This window comes from Homo sapiens, chromosome 4 (assembly GCF_000001405.40).
Source record: "Homo sapiens chromosome 4, GRCh38.p14 Primary Assembly".
Taxonomy (NCBI): Eukaryota; Metazoa; Chordata; class Mammalia; order Primates; family Hominidae; genus Homo; species Homo sapiens.
This window is the reverse complement of record NC_000004.12, coordinates 52,047,103-52,061,616: the sequence shown is the minus strand read 5'-3', so window position 1 is coordinate 52,061,616 and position 14,514 is coordinate 52,047,103. Positions and strand designations below refer to the sequence as shown.

General features: G+C 42.9%; 1 protein-coding gene across 13 annotated transcripts in view, besides 5 other annotated features; it reads right to left on the bottom strand.

Annotated features, from left to right (window-relative positions):
* The window catches only part of SPATA18 (spermatogenesis associated 18), a 45,996-nt gene extending 35,683 nt beyond the window's left edge, over window positions 1-10,313 (bottom strand). For 7 of the 13 annotated variants that reach the window (NR_123728.2, XR_007096360.1, XR_941044.2 and 4 more), the window contains exons 1-3: window positions 9,826-10,313; window positions 1,093-1,198; window positions 720-835 (exon numbers count right to left, since the gene is read on the bottom strand). Coding sequence is in view for 6 of the 13 variants with exons in the window: in NM_145263.4 (NP_660306.1) it covers window positions 720-835; window positions 1,093-1,198; window positions 9,826-9,912 (309 nt within the window). In the remaining 7 variants the exon portion in view is untranslated. Of the gene's footprint in view, window positions 1-719; window positions 836-1,092; window positions 1,199-9,825 lie in introns of those variants that run through there. The other 6 variants (NR_144359.2, XM_011534372.2, NM_001346103.2 and 3 more) reach the window with 3 other exon arrangements.
* Window positions 9,521-9,870: an enhancer, noted in NCBI's record as "active region_21553". NCBI's record gives its function as "activates an Ori minimal core promoter by ATAC-STARR-seq in GM12878 lymphoblastoid cells {active_cell/tissue: GM12878}" and the evidence as "EXISTENCE:reporter gene assay evidence [ECO:0000049][PMID:35858748]".
* Window positions 9,521-10,664: a biological region, named in NCBI's record as "H3K27ac hESC enhancers GRCh37_chr4:52917119-52917620 and GRCh37_chr4:52917621-52918120".
* Window positions 9,663-10,162: an enhancer, noted in NCBI's record as "H3K27ac hESC enhancer chr4:52917621-52918120 (GRCh37/hg19 assembly coordinates)". NCBI's record gives its function as "activates a minimal SCP1, AML or CMV promoter by ChIP-STARR-seq in naive H9 embryonic stem cells {active_cell/tissue: H9 hESC(naive)}" and the evidence as "EXISTENCE:reporter gene assay evidence [ECO:0000049][PMID:30033119]".
* Window positions 10,041-10,340: a silencer, noted in NCBI's record as "silent region_15422". NCBI's record gives its function as "represses an Ori minimal core promoter by ATAC-STARR-seq in GM12878 lymphoblastoid cells {active_cell/tissue: GM12878}" and the evidence as "EXISTENCE:reporter gene assay evidence [ECO:0000049][PMID:35858748]".
* Window positions 10,163-10,664: an enhancer, noted in NCBI's record as "H3K27ac hESC enhancer chr4:52917119-52917620 (GRCh37/hg19 assembly coordinates)". NCBI's record gives its function as "activates a minimal SCP1, AML or CMV promoter by ChIP-STARR-seq in primed H9 embryonic stem cells {active_cell/tissue: H9 hESC(primed)}" and the evidence as "EXISTENCE:reporter gene assay evidence [ECO:0000049][PMID:30033119]".

The following is a 14,514-nucleotide window of genomic DNA, read 5'->3' as shown; positions in this document are numbered from 1 at the left end:
GACTGGTTTTCTGCTCAGTGATCTCCAAGCAGGGATCCTTCAGCCACTATCTTATAATGCTCTTGCTCAGAACAGACTAAATGCTTTCTTTCTGTTATTATTATTATTATTATTATTATTATTATTATTTTTACTTTAGGTTCTGGGATACACATGCACAATGTGCAGGTTTTTTACATAGGTATACGTGTGCCATGGTGGTTTGCTGCACCTATCAACCTGTCACCTAGGTTTTAAGCCCCACATGCATTAGCTATTTGTCCTAACGCTCTCTCTCCCCTCACCCCTGCAATCCCCCAACAGGCCCTGCTGTGTTGTTCCCCTCCCTGTGTCCATGTATTCTCATTGTTCAGCTCCCACTTATGAGTGAGAACATGTGATGTTTGGTTTTCTCAGAACAGACTAAATGCTTTCTAAATGCTTCTGTTTTAGAAAGGATTATAGGTAAATCCATATAAATGTTTCAAAGTAAAGTAACTAATGTTTTGGTTGCCCAGATGTAATGATGTGGATGCCTTAAGCAAGGTATGTGCGCTCTTTCTAGTCTGATCTCTACCTGTTCAAAAACTAACACCGTCCCATGGAAACCACCAATATCCATCACAAATTGTGACACTCTATCAGTCTACCAAAATCAAGTCCTCTTCTTCTCTTGGAGGTTTCTGATTCGTTTTATCTCACTGTTCAGAAAGTCAAGGGTTATCCTTCAGCATCCCTACCTGCAGAGAGGGGACCTTGCTGTCAACAGATTTTCCCAGGGAAGCAGCAGTAAAGGAAGCCTCCAGCCAAGGCAAAAGGCGTGACTTGATTGTTTCCACACCATCATTACGTCCTCCTAAAATGTTAAATGACGAGTTAATGGGTGCAGCACACCAACATGGCACATGTATACATATGTAACTAACCTGCACGTTGTGTACATGTACCCTAAAACTTAAAGTATAATTAAAAAAAAAAGAGAGAATACACACATCAGGTCATCAGGTCAGTGAGAGAAACCCAACCACACCAACAGTCAAAGAACACAAAAAAGCACCAAGAAAAGAGAGAAAGGCAAGCAGAACTGGATGGGAAATTACAGGCCATTCTCACCTTCTTGGGCTGCTGCTGTGAGGATCCCAAAGAGTTGTCCCTGCACCTTGGCAACTTGCTCAATGAGTTCAAGGCAATGGTTTAGATTTTGATCACACGTGTTTGTCTGCAAGGGCAAAACAGTAGATAACCAGGGTAATTACTTCACTCTGGGACCCACTGCAGACAGACCAGGGCCTCACTTGACCCACGAGCTGCCTGGCTCTGGTATGCTTTTGTGGCAGGACTGCTGTGTAGTCACCAAAACCTATCTCCCTTTCCTCCTGGACACAAAACTAGACCACATTTCACAGTTTCCCTAGCAGTTCGTGTGGCCATGTAACTGAATTCTGGTTAACTGGATGGGAAGTGATATATGCCTGGGGCCTGGCCCAGAAGAGAACCTCTTGAATGACTTTTTTTTCTTTTCCCTTCTGCCAACTGAATGCAGAAGAGCCAAGAGAGGATGCTGAGGGCATAAGGGATGGTGGAGCCACAAGATTTGCAAGGCTGCTGACTGAATGCTTGCACTGAATTGTCACATGGTTGAGAAAGTTGGTTTGTGTGTAAGCCACTGAGATTTGGAGGTTGTTTTTTATAGCAATAATCCTACTCAGTAAAACCCTACAAAAATACATTTAAAAAGTAAATAGACCTGTTATAAGACAATACAAATGACTGCCGAATTTACCTGCTTTATTGGTTCCTGTCCTCTACATAAATTCAATTTGTATATATTATATATGCATAGAGAACATTACTTCTTAACAGCAAGAAGGTATTGCTGGGTTGAGGATATAAGGGACTTGGCACTTGCAGACTCGTGGGGCAGACAGATGAATAGCCAGTTACTCTGCAGCGGAATAATAAGTCTTACCTACACAGATGAGCGCAAGCTCTACCCAAGAGTCCATTGTCTTGGAAAGTCTGGGAAGGCTTCCAAGAGGAAGTGAAATCTAGTCCAAGGTGAAATTAGCCAGACTTGGAAAAGGAAGTGGTTCCAGTGGTTGTGAAACATTCTAAGCAATGAGAACAAAACATGAGGAGGCCAAGAAGTGAACCTTTTAGCTATTATTCTGCTTTCCTCATTCCTTTGAAAGATTCTACCATTTCAACATAAGCCAAATCTCTAACTGACTCCAACATTAGAAGAAGGAATACAACTACAAGCAACAAACATCATGTGGTTGTAAAAATGCATCGATTTATGTGTCACCTCAGGGCTCAATAAGGCATCGGTCCTTGGTGCCTCCTGGACACAACAAATCCCAGAACAGAAAACAGCGTACAAGGCAGATAGAAACTAGGAGTGGAGTAAGAGAAAAGTTGAGATAATCTCTAGGCAAAAGTTTACAAGTCAAAAGCACATCTGCATCAACCAAGGAAATGGTTCAGACAGGCAGAAGCTCCTTGAGGACAGAGACTGGGCCTGTCCTGTTGGTTGTTGTATTCCCACCCCTGCATTCTACAGTGCCCCTGTATTCAGAATCATTGTGTATTGGATGGATGCATATAAATGAGATGATTCACTCACTTTGTATTTATTATATCTCTCCTATATGCCAGGCTCTATTAGTGCTTTACATATATAAACTCAGCTAATTCTCTCACTAGTACAATAGGAGCTAGAAGAATTATTATTATCATTCCCATTTCAGATGAGAAAGCTGAGGCACAGAGAGGTTAAGTAACTGGTTCTTGGCTACCCAGCTAGTAAATTATCAGAGCTGAGATTGGACCCCAGCAGCCCAGCTTCCAGAGCCCATGCTCTTAACTACTAAACTATACTGACTTTTAGATCATGATTCTTGCTGGGAGTACATGGAGGACTGGATGATGCAACCAAGAGTGAATGGGGAGGGCATCCAGGGAAGGCTTCTCTGTGGAGGGGACCCTTGAGTATTCCTGGGTTATAAGATTCAGGGAAGCACACCACTAGGGAAAGAGCTTACCAGGCAGTGGGAACAGCAAGGACAAAGGTTCTGTGACAGGAACAAGTTTGGCAACCTTGAATATGTCAATGTGGCAGAGGCACAGAAGGACATTTAGAGGTTGGCAGGGCAAGTTGACCTGGAGAGCCTTTCGCACCTGGCATGGAGTTTGGATGGGATGGACTTGTAACTGAGAGGGCAGCTGGGTTAATTTCCATGCTTGGTAAATGGTACCTGATGACTAATTCTGTTGTAGCATTGATTTCTCCTGCAGCCATTTTTTCTCCATCTCATCCATCTAATCTCTCCTCCCAAAAAGATCATGAGTTCTTTTTAAAAATGATATTGCTTTGCTCATGTTTGTATCTATTGCCACTAGTATCCTAGCAAATTGAAGGGTCTAAACAACGTTGATGAATGAATAATTTAACAGTGTAATGTTGACATGATAGAGCATTTAAAACCCATAGCCTGAACAGCTATCTCCATTTCTTCCTCGTTAATTCAGCAGCTCCTTGCCCTGGCCATTTTATACCTGCACTTATTACACTGAACTTCAATTACCTGCTTACAAGCCTTTTGCCCTCTGGCTAGATCATTCCATGTGCTAAGTGGACGGAGAATGAGCTTGGGAGTCAAGCAAACCTGAGTATCTCAGCTCTGCTGCTTGCCACAGTTCTATGTGACCCTGCACAAGTTACTTAACTTCTCTGAGCCCATTCCTCTCCCATGCAATGGGGATAATAATGCCTTGTGGAGCATTAGAATTAAATCAAAATAATACACGCCCAGCACCTCAGACACAGAAGGTGTTCATCAATTGGCACCTATGAGGTAGCATGCAGTATTGAAAGGAGCCAGTGGCTTAGGAATAAGGCAGACCTTTGTTCAAATCTGGTTCTCAACTTATCAGCTGCATTCCCTTAGAAAAGACATTTAAATATGAGGCTCTGTTTCCCTCTGTTTAGGAGGTAGCTGATCTCATGAGCAGAGTCTAGCATAAAAGAGGTACACAATAATTAGAAGTATTATTGTGGTATCATTACTATCTATTCCTATGCCTTGCCCAGTGCCTGGTACATACTGGGTACCCAGAGGAATGGTGGTCAAATGAGTTTTTAAACACATCTTAAATAACAGGAGAGAATATCCTATGCCACACAGTTCCCCTTCCCAAGACATGTTACAACATGCTGCAACTTCTAAACACAAAGCATTGCACAAGATAATCAAGTTGCAATAGGGTCACATTATTCTAGTAAACACATACTTACATACCCACACAAGACAACCAGAGCAAAGATATGGACTAATTATACTGTCTCCAAAGCACAGACTCTCCAGATTTATTCATTCATAAATCATTGAGTTTCTATTATATGTAAGGCCCTGGAAACAAAGCTCAGGAAACAAAGCTATATTAAAAAAAAAAAGTTGCCTGCAGTCAGTGAACTAATTAGATGGGGAAGTGAGATGGAGAACAAGATAAGAACAAGGGGATAAATAATTACCTTAGAGTTTATATTAAGTGCTCTGTGTGGATAACAAGCTATAGGAGCAGAAAAATAACCTCTGGTGAGGTGTGAAGGGTAAGAGGGAAGGGCATTTCAAGAGGAGGAACAGAAGGCACCAAGGCATATTAGCGGAAAGTGAGTACAGGGTCCAGAGACCAAGTCTGAAAGACTTGACTTGCCACATTAAGGGTCTTGGGCTTTATTCCATCATCAAAATGTTTAAGGATGCAACAGAGGAAGGTGGGTGTGACATGCTCATATTTGCTTTGCATGTTACAAAAATCTGTCTGGCAAAAGCAGACCAGATAGACTTTGGGTCACAGGGTGAGTCTGGTGGGGAGGTAGATGGGTATAACCATCTAGCTGAGAGATGCTGGAGGCTATAGACATACTAAGGGTCTCCCAAAGGTCCTTCCCAGCCCCAAATTACACCTGTGCCAGTAAAGGTCCCACCGATTTCAGCATTACCTAAGAAGGTCAGAGAGTTTAGAAATGAGTAAGAGGTATGAGAGGGATGATCCTGAGTTTGGGTTTGAACAAGTCAGGGGGCCTGCAGGACCTTCGGATGGAATGTCCAGTAGTGGTACCTAATAATTACTGATCACCTACTATATGCCAGCCAGGCCCTGTGCTAAGAGCTTTATATACATGGCTCCATTTAATCCTCAGAACAATCCTACAAATGGGATGCCATCATCATCCAAAATTCACCACTGAGGAAAAACAAATTAAGTAATTTGAAGAGACAATGGTGGAGACCCATTCCTGCAGCCTCCAGCACTGGAGCTGAGCTCTCAAACACAATGCTTTCCCCAAAGCAGATGGAAAGTAAGTCTGGAGCTTAGAAGAGAGACAGGACTGGGAGGTGTGGCTTTGGGAGGCTTCAGCAAGTGGGAGAGTGCAGAAGCCACATGCACAGATGAGATTACCAGGGAGAGGAAAGAGTGAGGAGAGGGCTGAGGGCAGAATGAGGGGCAATTTTGCTATGTCAGAAGTGGTCTGAGTAAGAAGAGCCAGTGAATAAAAAACAAAACAAGAGCAATCAGAAATGAGAGGACACCCAGGAAGCAAGATGAAGAAGAATAAGGAGGCCGAAGAAGCAGATGGTTTCAAGAAGCAGAAGGGCATGGTTTATTCATGCATTTATACTCTCAAGAAATTTTATGGAGACGCCACTATGCAGTAGATGCTAGGGACACAATGTCTCCTGCCCTGGAGGAATTTAGAGTCTAAGATAAACACGAAAATAAATGCAAAAACACATGCTACTTACTATAATAAAAATTGGTCCAGATTTCAGAGGTAAAACTCAAAAGAGAAGCTGGTAAGGGCCACGAAGTTTCAGGAAAGCCTTTGCCTGAGGAGCTTTGTGGGCTCCCACTCCTAGAAATTGATTTAATTGCTCTCGCGTGGGGCCTGGTCATTGGAAACATAAAAGCTTTTTAGACAATTCCTATATGCAATGAAGATTGATAACCACAGCATTAGTGGGTAACAAAACCAATTTAGTGAGTCTCAAACAGCAAATAATACTAAAAAGAAAATAGAGAAACACACCACAATGAGTAAAGGTAAGAATTATTAATGAAACTTGAGTTTTTAAGTATAAGGGTTTATGTGTGCTATATTGTGAAGTAAAATGCATTGAGTCCTGTAGGTAAGTTTTAAAAACAATGTTCTAGGGGACAATGCCTTGCCTGTGTTGAGAATCACTAGTATTGGCAATGAGAGCCATAAAAATGATGCTTCAAACAGCTGTATCAAAGTTGGATTGGAAGTGGGCATGAATGAAGGCAGGGAAATGAATAAGAAGTTTCCACGTTATAAGTGTAGAACTGAAATAAGTAAACTTCAAACACATTCTAATGGCTTTGTGCAGACAGGAAAGCAAGAGTTAATAGAAAAGAATAAAATATTCAGGAATACAACCACCAACATTATTAACATAAAGACATGTTCTTTTAAAGTCACTAACCCCTGTCACACAAATATGGGCTAAGAGCCTCCTTTGGCTACCATGATTGCTGCAAAAATACTGCTAGTTCTGTTACAGGCAAAATTTTCTGGACTGCATGAAGCTACTGTTAAAATAGAGATCTTAAGACTAATATAACAGACTCTTTACAGCAATAAGATAAAGACCTAAGGTCATGCCAGGCAAGGATTAAGTCACATACCCCTACACATAAAGAATCAACCATGTTCTAATTGTCAAAAGGTTTTTTCTTTTTATCTAGTAGCTAAGCAAGTACTGGCCTCGAGATAAACAATGTTAAAACAATTGCAACTCACTGACCACCAGACTCTGACTAACTGATCCCCTCCCGTTCCACAGTCCATAACTGCAACTTCAACTGGATAAGAGACTGATTTCAGTAACTTTCTCTTGATAAGAGATCACGGACCATAGGCTGGTTCTGGCCGGTCCACAGAGGCTGTACACTAAGTTCCTTCATGTCCCTGCCTCCACCTTTGATGTATAGGGCCTAATTGTAATACATTTAAATGTTAAGCTTCTACCCCAAAATGAATATAGGATGAACGTAACATGCATGTTTGCTTACTATGCTTGTGAGCGTTCCCCCTTCGTGAATATTACCTGTTGAATATGTATACATGTGGCCAACCCATTCATCATTAATTCCTGCCTTACCTTTCCTACCTCCAAGTGCCTGCCTCTGGTTTCAGCAGGGGCCTGCTTCCCAGCCTGCAGGTTGCTACCCTTTCTAAGAAATAAAGCTCTCCTAAGAAAGTGAGGATGTTACTATCTCACTCAAATATCAACAGGTGAAAAGTTTTTCAGGCAGAGAAAACAGTGAGTGCAAATGCCCTGAAGCAGAAGCATGTCCACATCTCTAGAACTGTGCTGTCTGAGACAGCAGCCATGAGCTGCATGTGGCTATCTGAATTTAAATTGGACTTAAGTCAAATTAAAAATTCTGTTCTTCAGTGTGTACTTGCCACATTTCAAGTGCCCAATAGTCACCTTATTGGACAATGCAGATATAGAACCTGTCCATCATCATAGAAAGTTCTATTGGACAGCATTGCTCTAGGACGAGCAAGAAAGCTGGTACTGCTGGAGTGGGCTGAGCAAGGGAGAGAGTAACAGATAAGGTTAAAGAGCTTAAAGGGGCACAATTGTGTAGGACTTTGAAGGTCACTGTAGGAGCTTTGGCTTCTTCTGACTGAAATAGGAAATTTGGAGTGTCTTGCAAAAAGAGTAACTTGATCTGACTTGACATTTAGAAGCATCTCTTTGGGTTGTTATTTTTGTAATAATCCAGGTGAAAGATGATCAAGGATGGAGAAGGGTGGTAGCAGTGGGGGTGGTGAAAAGTGTTTAGATTCCGTATGAACTTTGAAGTTAGAACCAACAGATTATGATGGTGAAAAGGGAGTGGAGTATATAATGATGAAGACGACTTAGAAAAATGAGACCTGTGGTTGGGGCATGGGAGAGGCTAAATTCCATTTTGGACAGATTTGACTTTGAGCATTCTGAGCATTTCAATAGCATTCACTATTGAAAGATGTCCAATGGGCAGTTGGAGAAGTGAGAGCTCAGATGGGAACACATCCTATAGAAATAAGATTCATCAGCATACTTGTAACAGATGAAGCAGGAGTGGAGGGGGAAGAATACAGGTGTCAACATTCCAATGTGATAATGATGCCTGCAAACTCAAGAGAAATGATGGAACCTGGGGAGTGGCCACAAGGTATGAAAAACACTGGTGGCTGTGAGTGCAGCCTCTACTGTAGAGAGATGAAGGGAAAACAGCTGGATGGAAATGGTTTTAATGAGAGCAGAGAATGGGATGTTATCAAGACAGGAAAATGTAATAAACTAAGGCACTTCTCATCACTTACAGGGAGTTTCTAAAATAATTGTTTATTAGTTCCAGACAAATCCTAGTGTTATTTGTAATAAACATTGTGACAAACAACATGTTTTTTTAAAATTCAGAGTTTAGTTAGGCCACTGGGCAAAAAAAAAGGGGTAAATACTGTATACATGTTAGAATTTCTTATTCTCAACCTCCTGAGACTAAGTAGTAGGTACTTTTAAAATTAGTTGGGGGGAACCCAAGTCTTTTATGATAAAGAGGTCATTTTAACTTTCCAGAATTCTTAATGGAGAAGGAATGGTCAGCGCTTGTTCTTTAAAAGGGAGCAAAGGACTGAACAGGAAGCACTAGAAAGGAAGGCTAAGGAGAAAGCTGTAGCTGCTCTTTGAGCTCCCCTCCACTTCAGGAGCACTGGTTAAAGGGTGAATGGGGAAGCCTAAGGACCTCATAACAGGCAGGATCTCAGAAACAAGCTAATCTAGGCTCAAAAACTTAAAATCTGAACAGGAAATTTACATATCATCTAGACCAATCTCTGCTATTTCACAGATGAGGTACTAAGACCAAGAGAAGTTAAATAATTTGACTCCGTCATTCAGCTAGTTCTATGCAGAGCCAAATGTAGAAACAAGGGGGGGCTAATTTCCGGTCCACAGTTCTTTTGCCTGGCCGCTCCACTTATTATGTAAGAGGGGAAATCCCTATTTAAGACGGACCGACCGAATGTAAAGCAAATTCAACACTCACCGTTCTATTTGGGGGAAGGGGGGAATTATGGGGAGGCAGGGTGCGAGTAGGGATTAATGAGATTTGAAAAGTGCTCATGGGTTTGGTGACAGAATACTGGCTTCTCACAAATGCCTGGAAAAAGGCCTGAATCCGCCCTGGTGTTGGAACTGTGCCTCAATTTCCAGGCCCACCAGCACGCAAGTGAAACCCGCAACGTTAACAAGTGTCCGTTTCGCTGATTTCTGGGTAAATAACTCCTGGGTGTGTGTTTATACAAATCCATTCTGATACAAACCCTGGGCAGGAGAGGGTTGTAGTAAAAAATAATTCGGGATTGGGGAAGCAGGCGGTGTGGATTGCGCTGGCAAGGGGGATGGGAAAGAGTGGCAGGCATGACCAGACCAGCCGCGGACAGCAGGGCTTCCCTATTGCTAGGTCGCCGGCGTCCTTAGTTACCACTGATTGGAAGCACTCTCCAGTCTCCGCAGCCTAGTGCTGCGCTCCGCAGGCCGCCTGCGCGCCGCCTCCCGAAGCTCTGAGACAAGGGCATGTACACACATGTCCTTCCTTCCCCAGCGATCCCGGTCGAAAGCTGAGATCCTGGTTAGGAATCGCAACCGCGGAGGCTTTGCAAAGTGGCCACCAACTCCAGCCCTAAGAAATCCCCGACAAGGGCTGTGCTGGAACCTATGGGAGGGCGAACCCCGGGGGTTTTTCACCCAGACTCACGTTGTACTCCTTCAGCCAGAAGTCTAGCTTTTCCTGCAACGTTCGTAAAGTTTCGTTTGAGACCAGTCTTTTCAGGTTTTCCGCCATCGCTCACTATTCCTCTCGGCCCCACGCTGCGCGATGGAGACTTGGGGGGACCAGGCGGTGGCCTCCGCAGGACCGTGGGGTGATATGGCGGGAAGGGTGTTCTCTTCTGGGGGGCTCAGAGCGCGGCAGGTGTTTCCATCCTCCCCCTCGGGTCGGACCTGGCCGGGTTCGGGAAGCCAGAGGGGAGGTGCCCTGGGCCGCAGCCGCCGCGCCTCATCCGCCGTCCCGCGCGGTCTCCTGGCTCCCCAGCAGCCGCCTGAGCCCGGCCATAGATACCCTGGCGATTATTAAACAAACCTTGACGTGGACGGGTTGGCTGCCAGGGACGCGCGCGGCCCGCGTCGTGGCAACGCCCGCGCCGCCCCGCCCTGGGTGACAGCCGCGCGCCCCAGGGGTGGACTGAGACGCGCAGCCGCGCGGGCTGGAGGGCAGCAGGGCGTCTACAGCATTCCTCCCCATTCGGGGTTCTGGGTGCCCACGCGTGTCCAGAAAAGCAGAAGTTAAGTCTCTATAGAAGTTTGGGGCTAGGCTCTCAGGAGATCACCTCTTTGGCCCCTTTATTCTTTCGCCTTTCATTCCTTTAATTCTTCATTTGTAGCGCCTTGGGTTTACCTGTATGAAACTTGTAACTAAAATTTCAGTACTTCTTACTTCTAGCTTTTACTTTGTTCCTTGACCCACTGGGTGGGTACCCAAGTTAATAGAGTTTAGCTCCAGGATGTTCACAAATTAAAGTTAATCCCTCAGGTTTGGATAAGATTTGGCAGTATGTATTTTAGTACTTTTTTTTTTAGAGTCATTGAGCACTCTAAAGCTTCATTTAATTCTGAATTCTCTAATTGGGACTTTCTTGACCTAGTTTGGCACTATTTCAAAAGTGTGTATTCTGCTACAGAAACAGGTTCAACTACTTAGGAAACCATTTCGACCATCTTTAAGCGCTTTCGAAGCAAGCTCTTTTATATACCATCAAAAAATGTGCTGATTATAAATCATTCCTATCCATTCATTAAAACAGCGGTGGGGAGCAGAGCCTCAGCTGGTTAGCTAGCTAGTTTAACTTAGTTTCATCTCTGTAGGTACTTGAAAATCTGTGAACACTGCATATATTCAAGTATTGTAAAATCAAGAATTTTCACCACCTCTCATTTTTTATTTCTCTTGATTACAGTGGCTTTACTATCTGCTAATGAAAATGAAAGGCTCAGTTTTGGAGCCTGTGTTCCTACTATTTTCTGTAGACCACAAAATAAGGACTATAGGGGTATAACATGTTATTTGATTGGAGTAGAATAATAATTTCTAATGTTAAAAATACCCACTCAACAAAACAGCTAAATATTCATTAAACAACTTCATATATATATATATATATATATATATATATATGTAAAATGAATTGAGAAAAACTTCAAATTTCTCAATTTGGACCTAATAATTACATATTTCTACAGGCATTTGGAATCTTTGAACAGTCCCATTTACTTATTCATAAAAACCCATATTGGAACATTTATGTCAGATAAATTAGAGGTAAAGGATTTTTCCTTGCTGTGAGCACCTTAATTAGCCTGTAATCCTTGGTTTCATCATCTGTAAAAGGAAAATAATTCTCTCATAGGATTATTATGAAACTTAGTAAGATAATTCATGTATTTAGTACAATGCTTGGCAAAATGCAGTAGCAATTGCTCTAGTAATTGCTGTTTATTAAATATAAACTAATACTGGCCTACATTTGCTATTATTAAGAATGTGGATTAGTATGTTTATATTTAATAAAGAAAACTAGTTGTAAACAATCTAAACCTCCAACAATAGGGTAATGGTTAAGCAAATAATGAAATGTTGCACACTAAAAATCTTGTTGTTGTAGAATATATACTATCTACAAATTTTCACTATAACGAAAAAGGCAGAACACTAAATTGTATACACTGTGTTAAATTACACAATGTGAACCCAAGGTATAATTGTGGGTTATTTTAATTGCTCTTTTATATTTTTCTGATTTTTTCAAGTTTCTATCATGAATATGAATTGTTTGTATGAAAACTTATTCAGAAAAAAGTTACCCCAAACAGTTACTAACATGGTTTGGCTGAGTCCTTGCCAAAATCTCATCTTGGATTCCACGTGTTGTGGGAGGGGTCCAGTGAGAGGTAATTGAACCATGGAGTCAGGTCTTTCCTGTACTATTCTCGTGATAGTGAGTAAGTCTCACAAGATCTGGTGGTTTTGAAAAAGGGAATTTTCCCTGCACAAGCTTGCTGCCGCCCATATAAGATGTTACTTGCTCCTCCTTGCCTCCCACCATGATTGTGAGGCCTCCCTCGCCATGTGGAACTGTAAGTCCATTCAACCTCTTTCTTTTGTAAATTGCCCCGTCTCAGCAGCTTGTAAACCAACTAATACAGTAAATTCTTATGGGGATTGCAGCGCCACTGAAAATATATCCAAAAATGTGGAGCACTTTAGGAACTGAGTAACTTTCTGGAACTGAGTAACAGGCAGAGGTTGGAACAGTTTGGAGGACTCTGAAGAAGACAGGAAAATGTAGGAACGTTTCGAACTCCCTAGAGTCTTGTCAAATGGCTTTGACCAAAATGCTGATAATGATATAGACTATGAAATCCAGGCTGAGGTGGATGGAAATGAGGAATTTGTTGGGAACTGGAGCAAAGGTGACTCTTTTTATGTTTTAGCAAAGAGACTGGCAGCATTTTGCCCCTGACCTAGAGATTTGTGGAACTTTGAACTTGAGAGAGATGATTTAGGTTATCTGGCAGAAGAAATTTCTAAGTAGCAAAGCATTCAAGAGGTGACTTGGGTGCTGTTAAAGGCATTCCATTTTGAAAGGGAAGCAGAGCATAAAAGTTCAGAAAATTTGCAGCCTGACAACGCAATATAAAAGAAAATCCCATTTTCAGAGGAGAAATTCAAGCGGGCTACAGAAATTTGCATAAGTAACAAGGAGCCAAATGTTAATCCCCAAGACAATGGTGAAAATATCTCCAGGGCATGTCTCCAGGGCAGCCTAGGGACTTGATGCCCTGCGTCCCAGCCACTCCAGCCATGGCTGAAAGGGGCCAATGTAGAGCTCTGGCCATGGCTTCAGAGAGTACAAGCCTCAAGCCTTGGGAGCTTTCATGTGGTATTGAGCCTGCAAGTACACAGAAGTCAAGAGTTGAGGTTTGGGAACCTCTGCCTAGATTTCAGAAGATGTATGGAAACACCTAGATGCCCAGGCAAAAGTTTGCTGCAGGGGTGGGGCCCTCATGGAGAACCTCTGCTAGGGCAGTGCAGAAGGTTAATGTGGGGTGTGAACCCCCACAAAGAGTCCCTACTGGGGTGCTGCCTAGTGGAGCTGTGAGAAGCCTCTGTCCTCCAGACCCTAGAATGGTATATCCACAGAAAGCTTGTACTGTGTGCCTGCAAAAGCCACAGACACTCAACACTGGCCTGTAAAGGCAGCCCAGAGGGAGGCTGTACCCTGCAAAGCCACAGGGGCAGAGCTGCCCAAGACCATGGGAACCCACCTCTTGCATCAGCATGACCTGGATGTGAGACATGGGCTCAAAGGAGATCATTTTGGAGCTTTAAGATTTGACTGGCCAGATGCGGTAACACACACCTGTAATCCCAGCACTTTGGGAGGCTGAGGTGGGTGGGTCACCTGAGGTCAGGAGTTTGAAACCAGCCTGGCCAACATGGCAAAACCCTGTCTCTACTTGAGCGTGGTGGCGGGTGCCTGTAATCCCAGCTACTCAGGAGGCTGAGGCAGGAGAATCACTTGAACCTGGGAGATGGAGGTTGCAGTGAGCTGAGATCACACCACTGCATTCCAGCCTGGGTGACAGAGCAAGACTCTGTCACCAAAAAAAATAAATAAATAAATAAATAAATAAATAAATAAATAAATAAATAAAATAAAAATAAAAAAATTTGACTATCCCACTGGATTTCAGACTTGCATGGGGCCTGTAGCCCCTTTGTTTTGGCCAATTTCTCCCATTTGGAATGGCTGTATTTACCCAATGCCTGTATCCCCATTGTATCTAGGAAGTAACTAACTTGCTTTTGATTTGATTTGATTTTTTTTTTTTATTATACTTTAAGTTCTAGGGTACATGTGCACAACGTGTAACTTGCTTTTGATTTTAAAGGCTCATAGGTGGAAGGGACTTGCCTTCTCTAGGATGAGACTTTGGACTTTGGACTGTGGACTTTTGAGTTAATGCTGAAATGAGTTAAGACTTTGGGGAACTGTTGGGAAGGCATGATTGCTTTTGAAATGTGAGAACATGAGATTTGGGAGGGGTCAGGGGGCAGAATGATATGGTTTGGCTGTGTTCCCACCCAAATCTCATCTTGAATTTCCACAGGTTGTGGGAGGGACCCAGTGGGAGGTAATTGAACCATGGAGGCAGGTCTTTCCTATGCTGTTCTCCTGATAGTGAATAAGTCTCCCAAGATCTGGTGTTTTTTAAAAAAGGAGAGTTTTCCTGCACAAGCTATCTCTGCCTGCTGCCATTCATGTAAGATGTGACTTGCTCCTCCTTGCCTTCTGCCAGGATTGTGAGGCATCCCCAGCCATGTGGA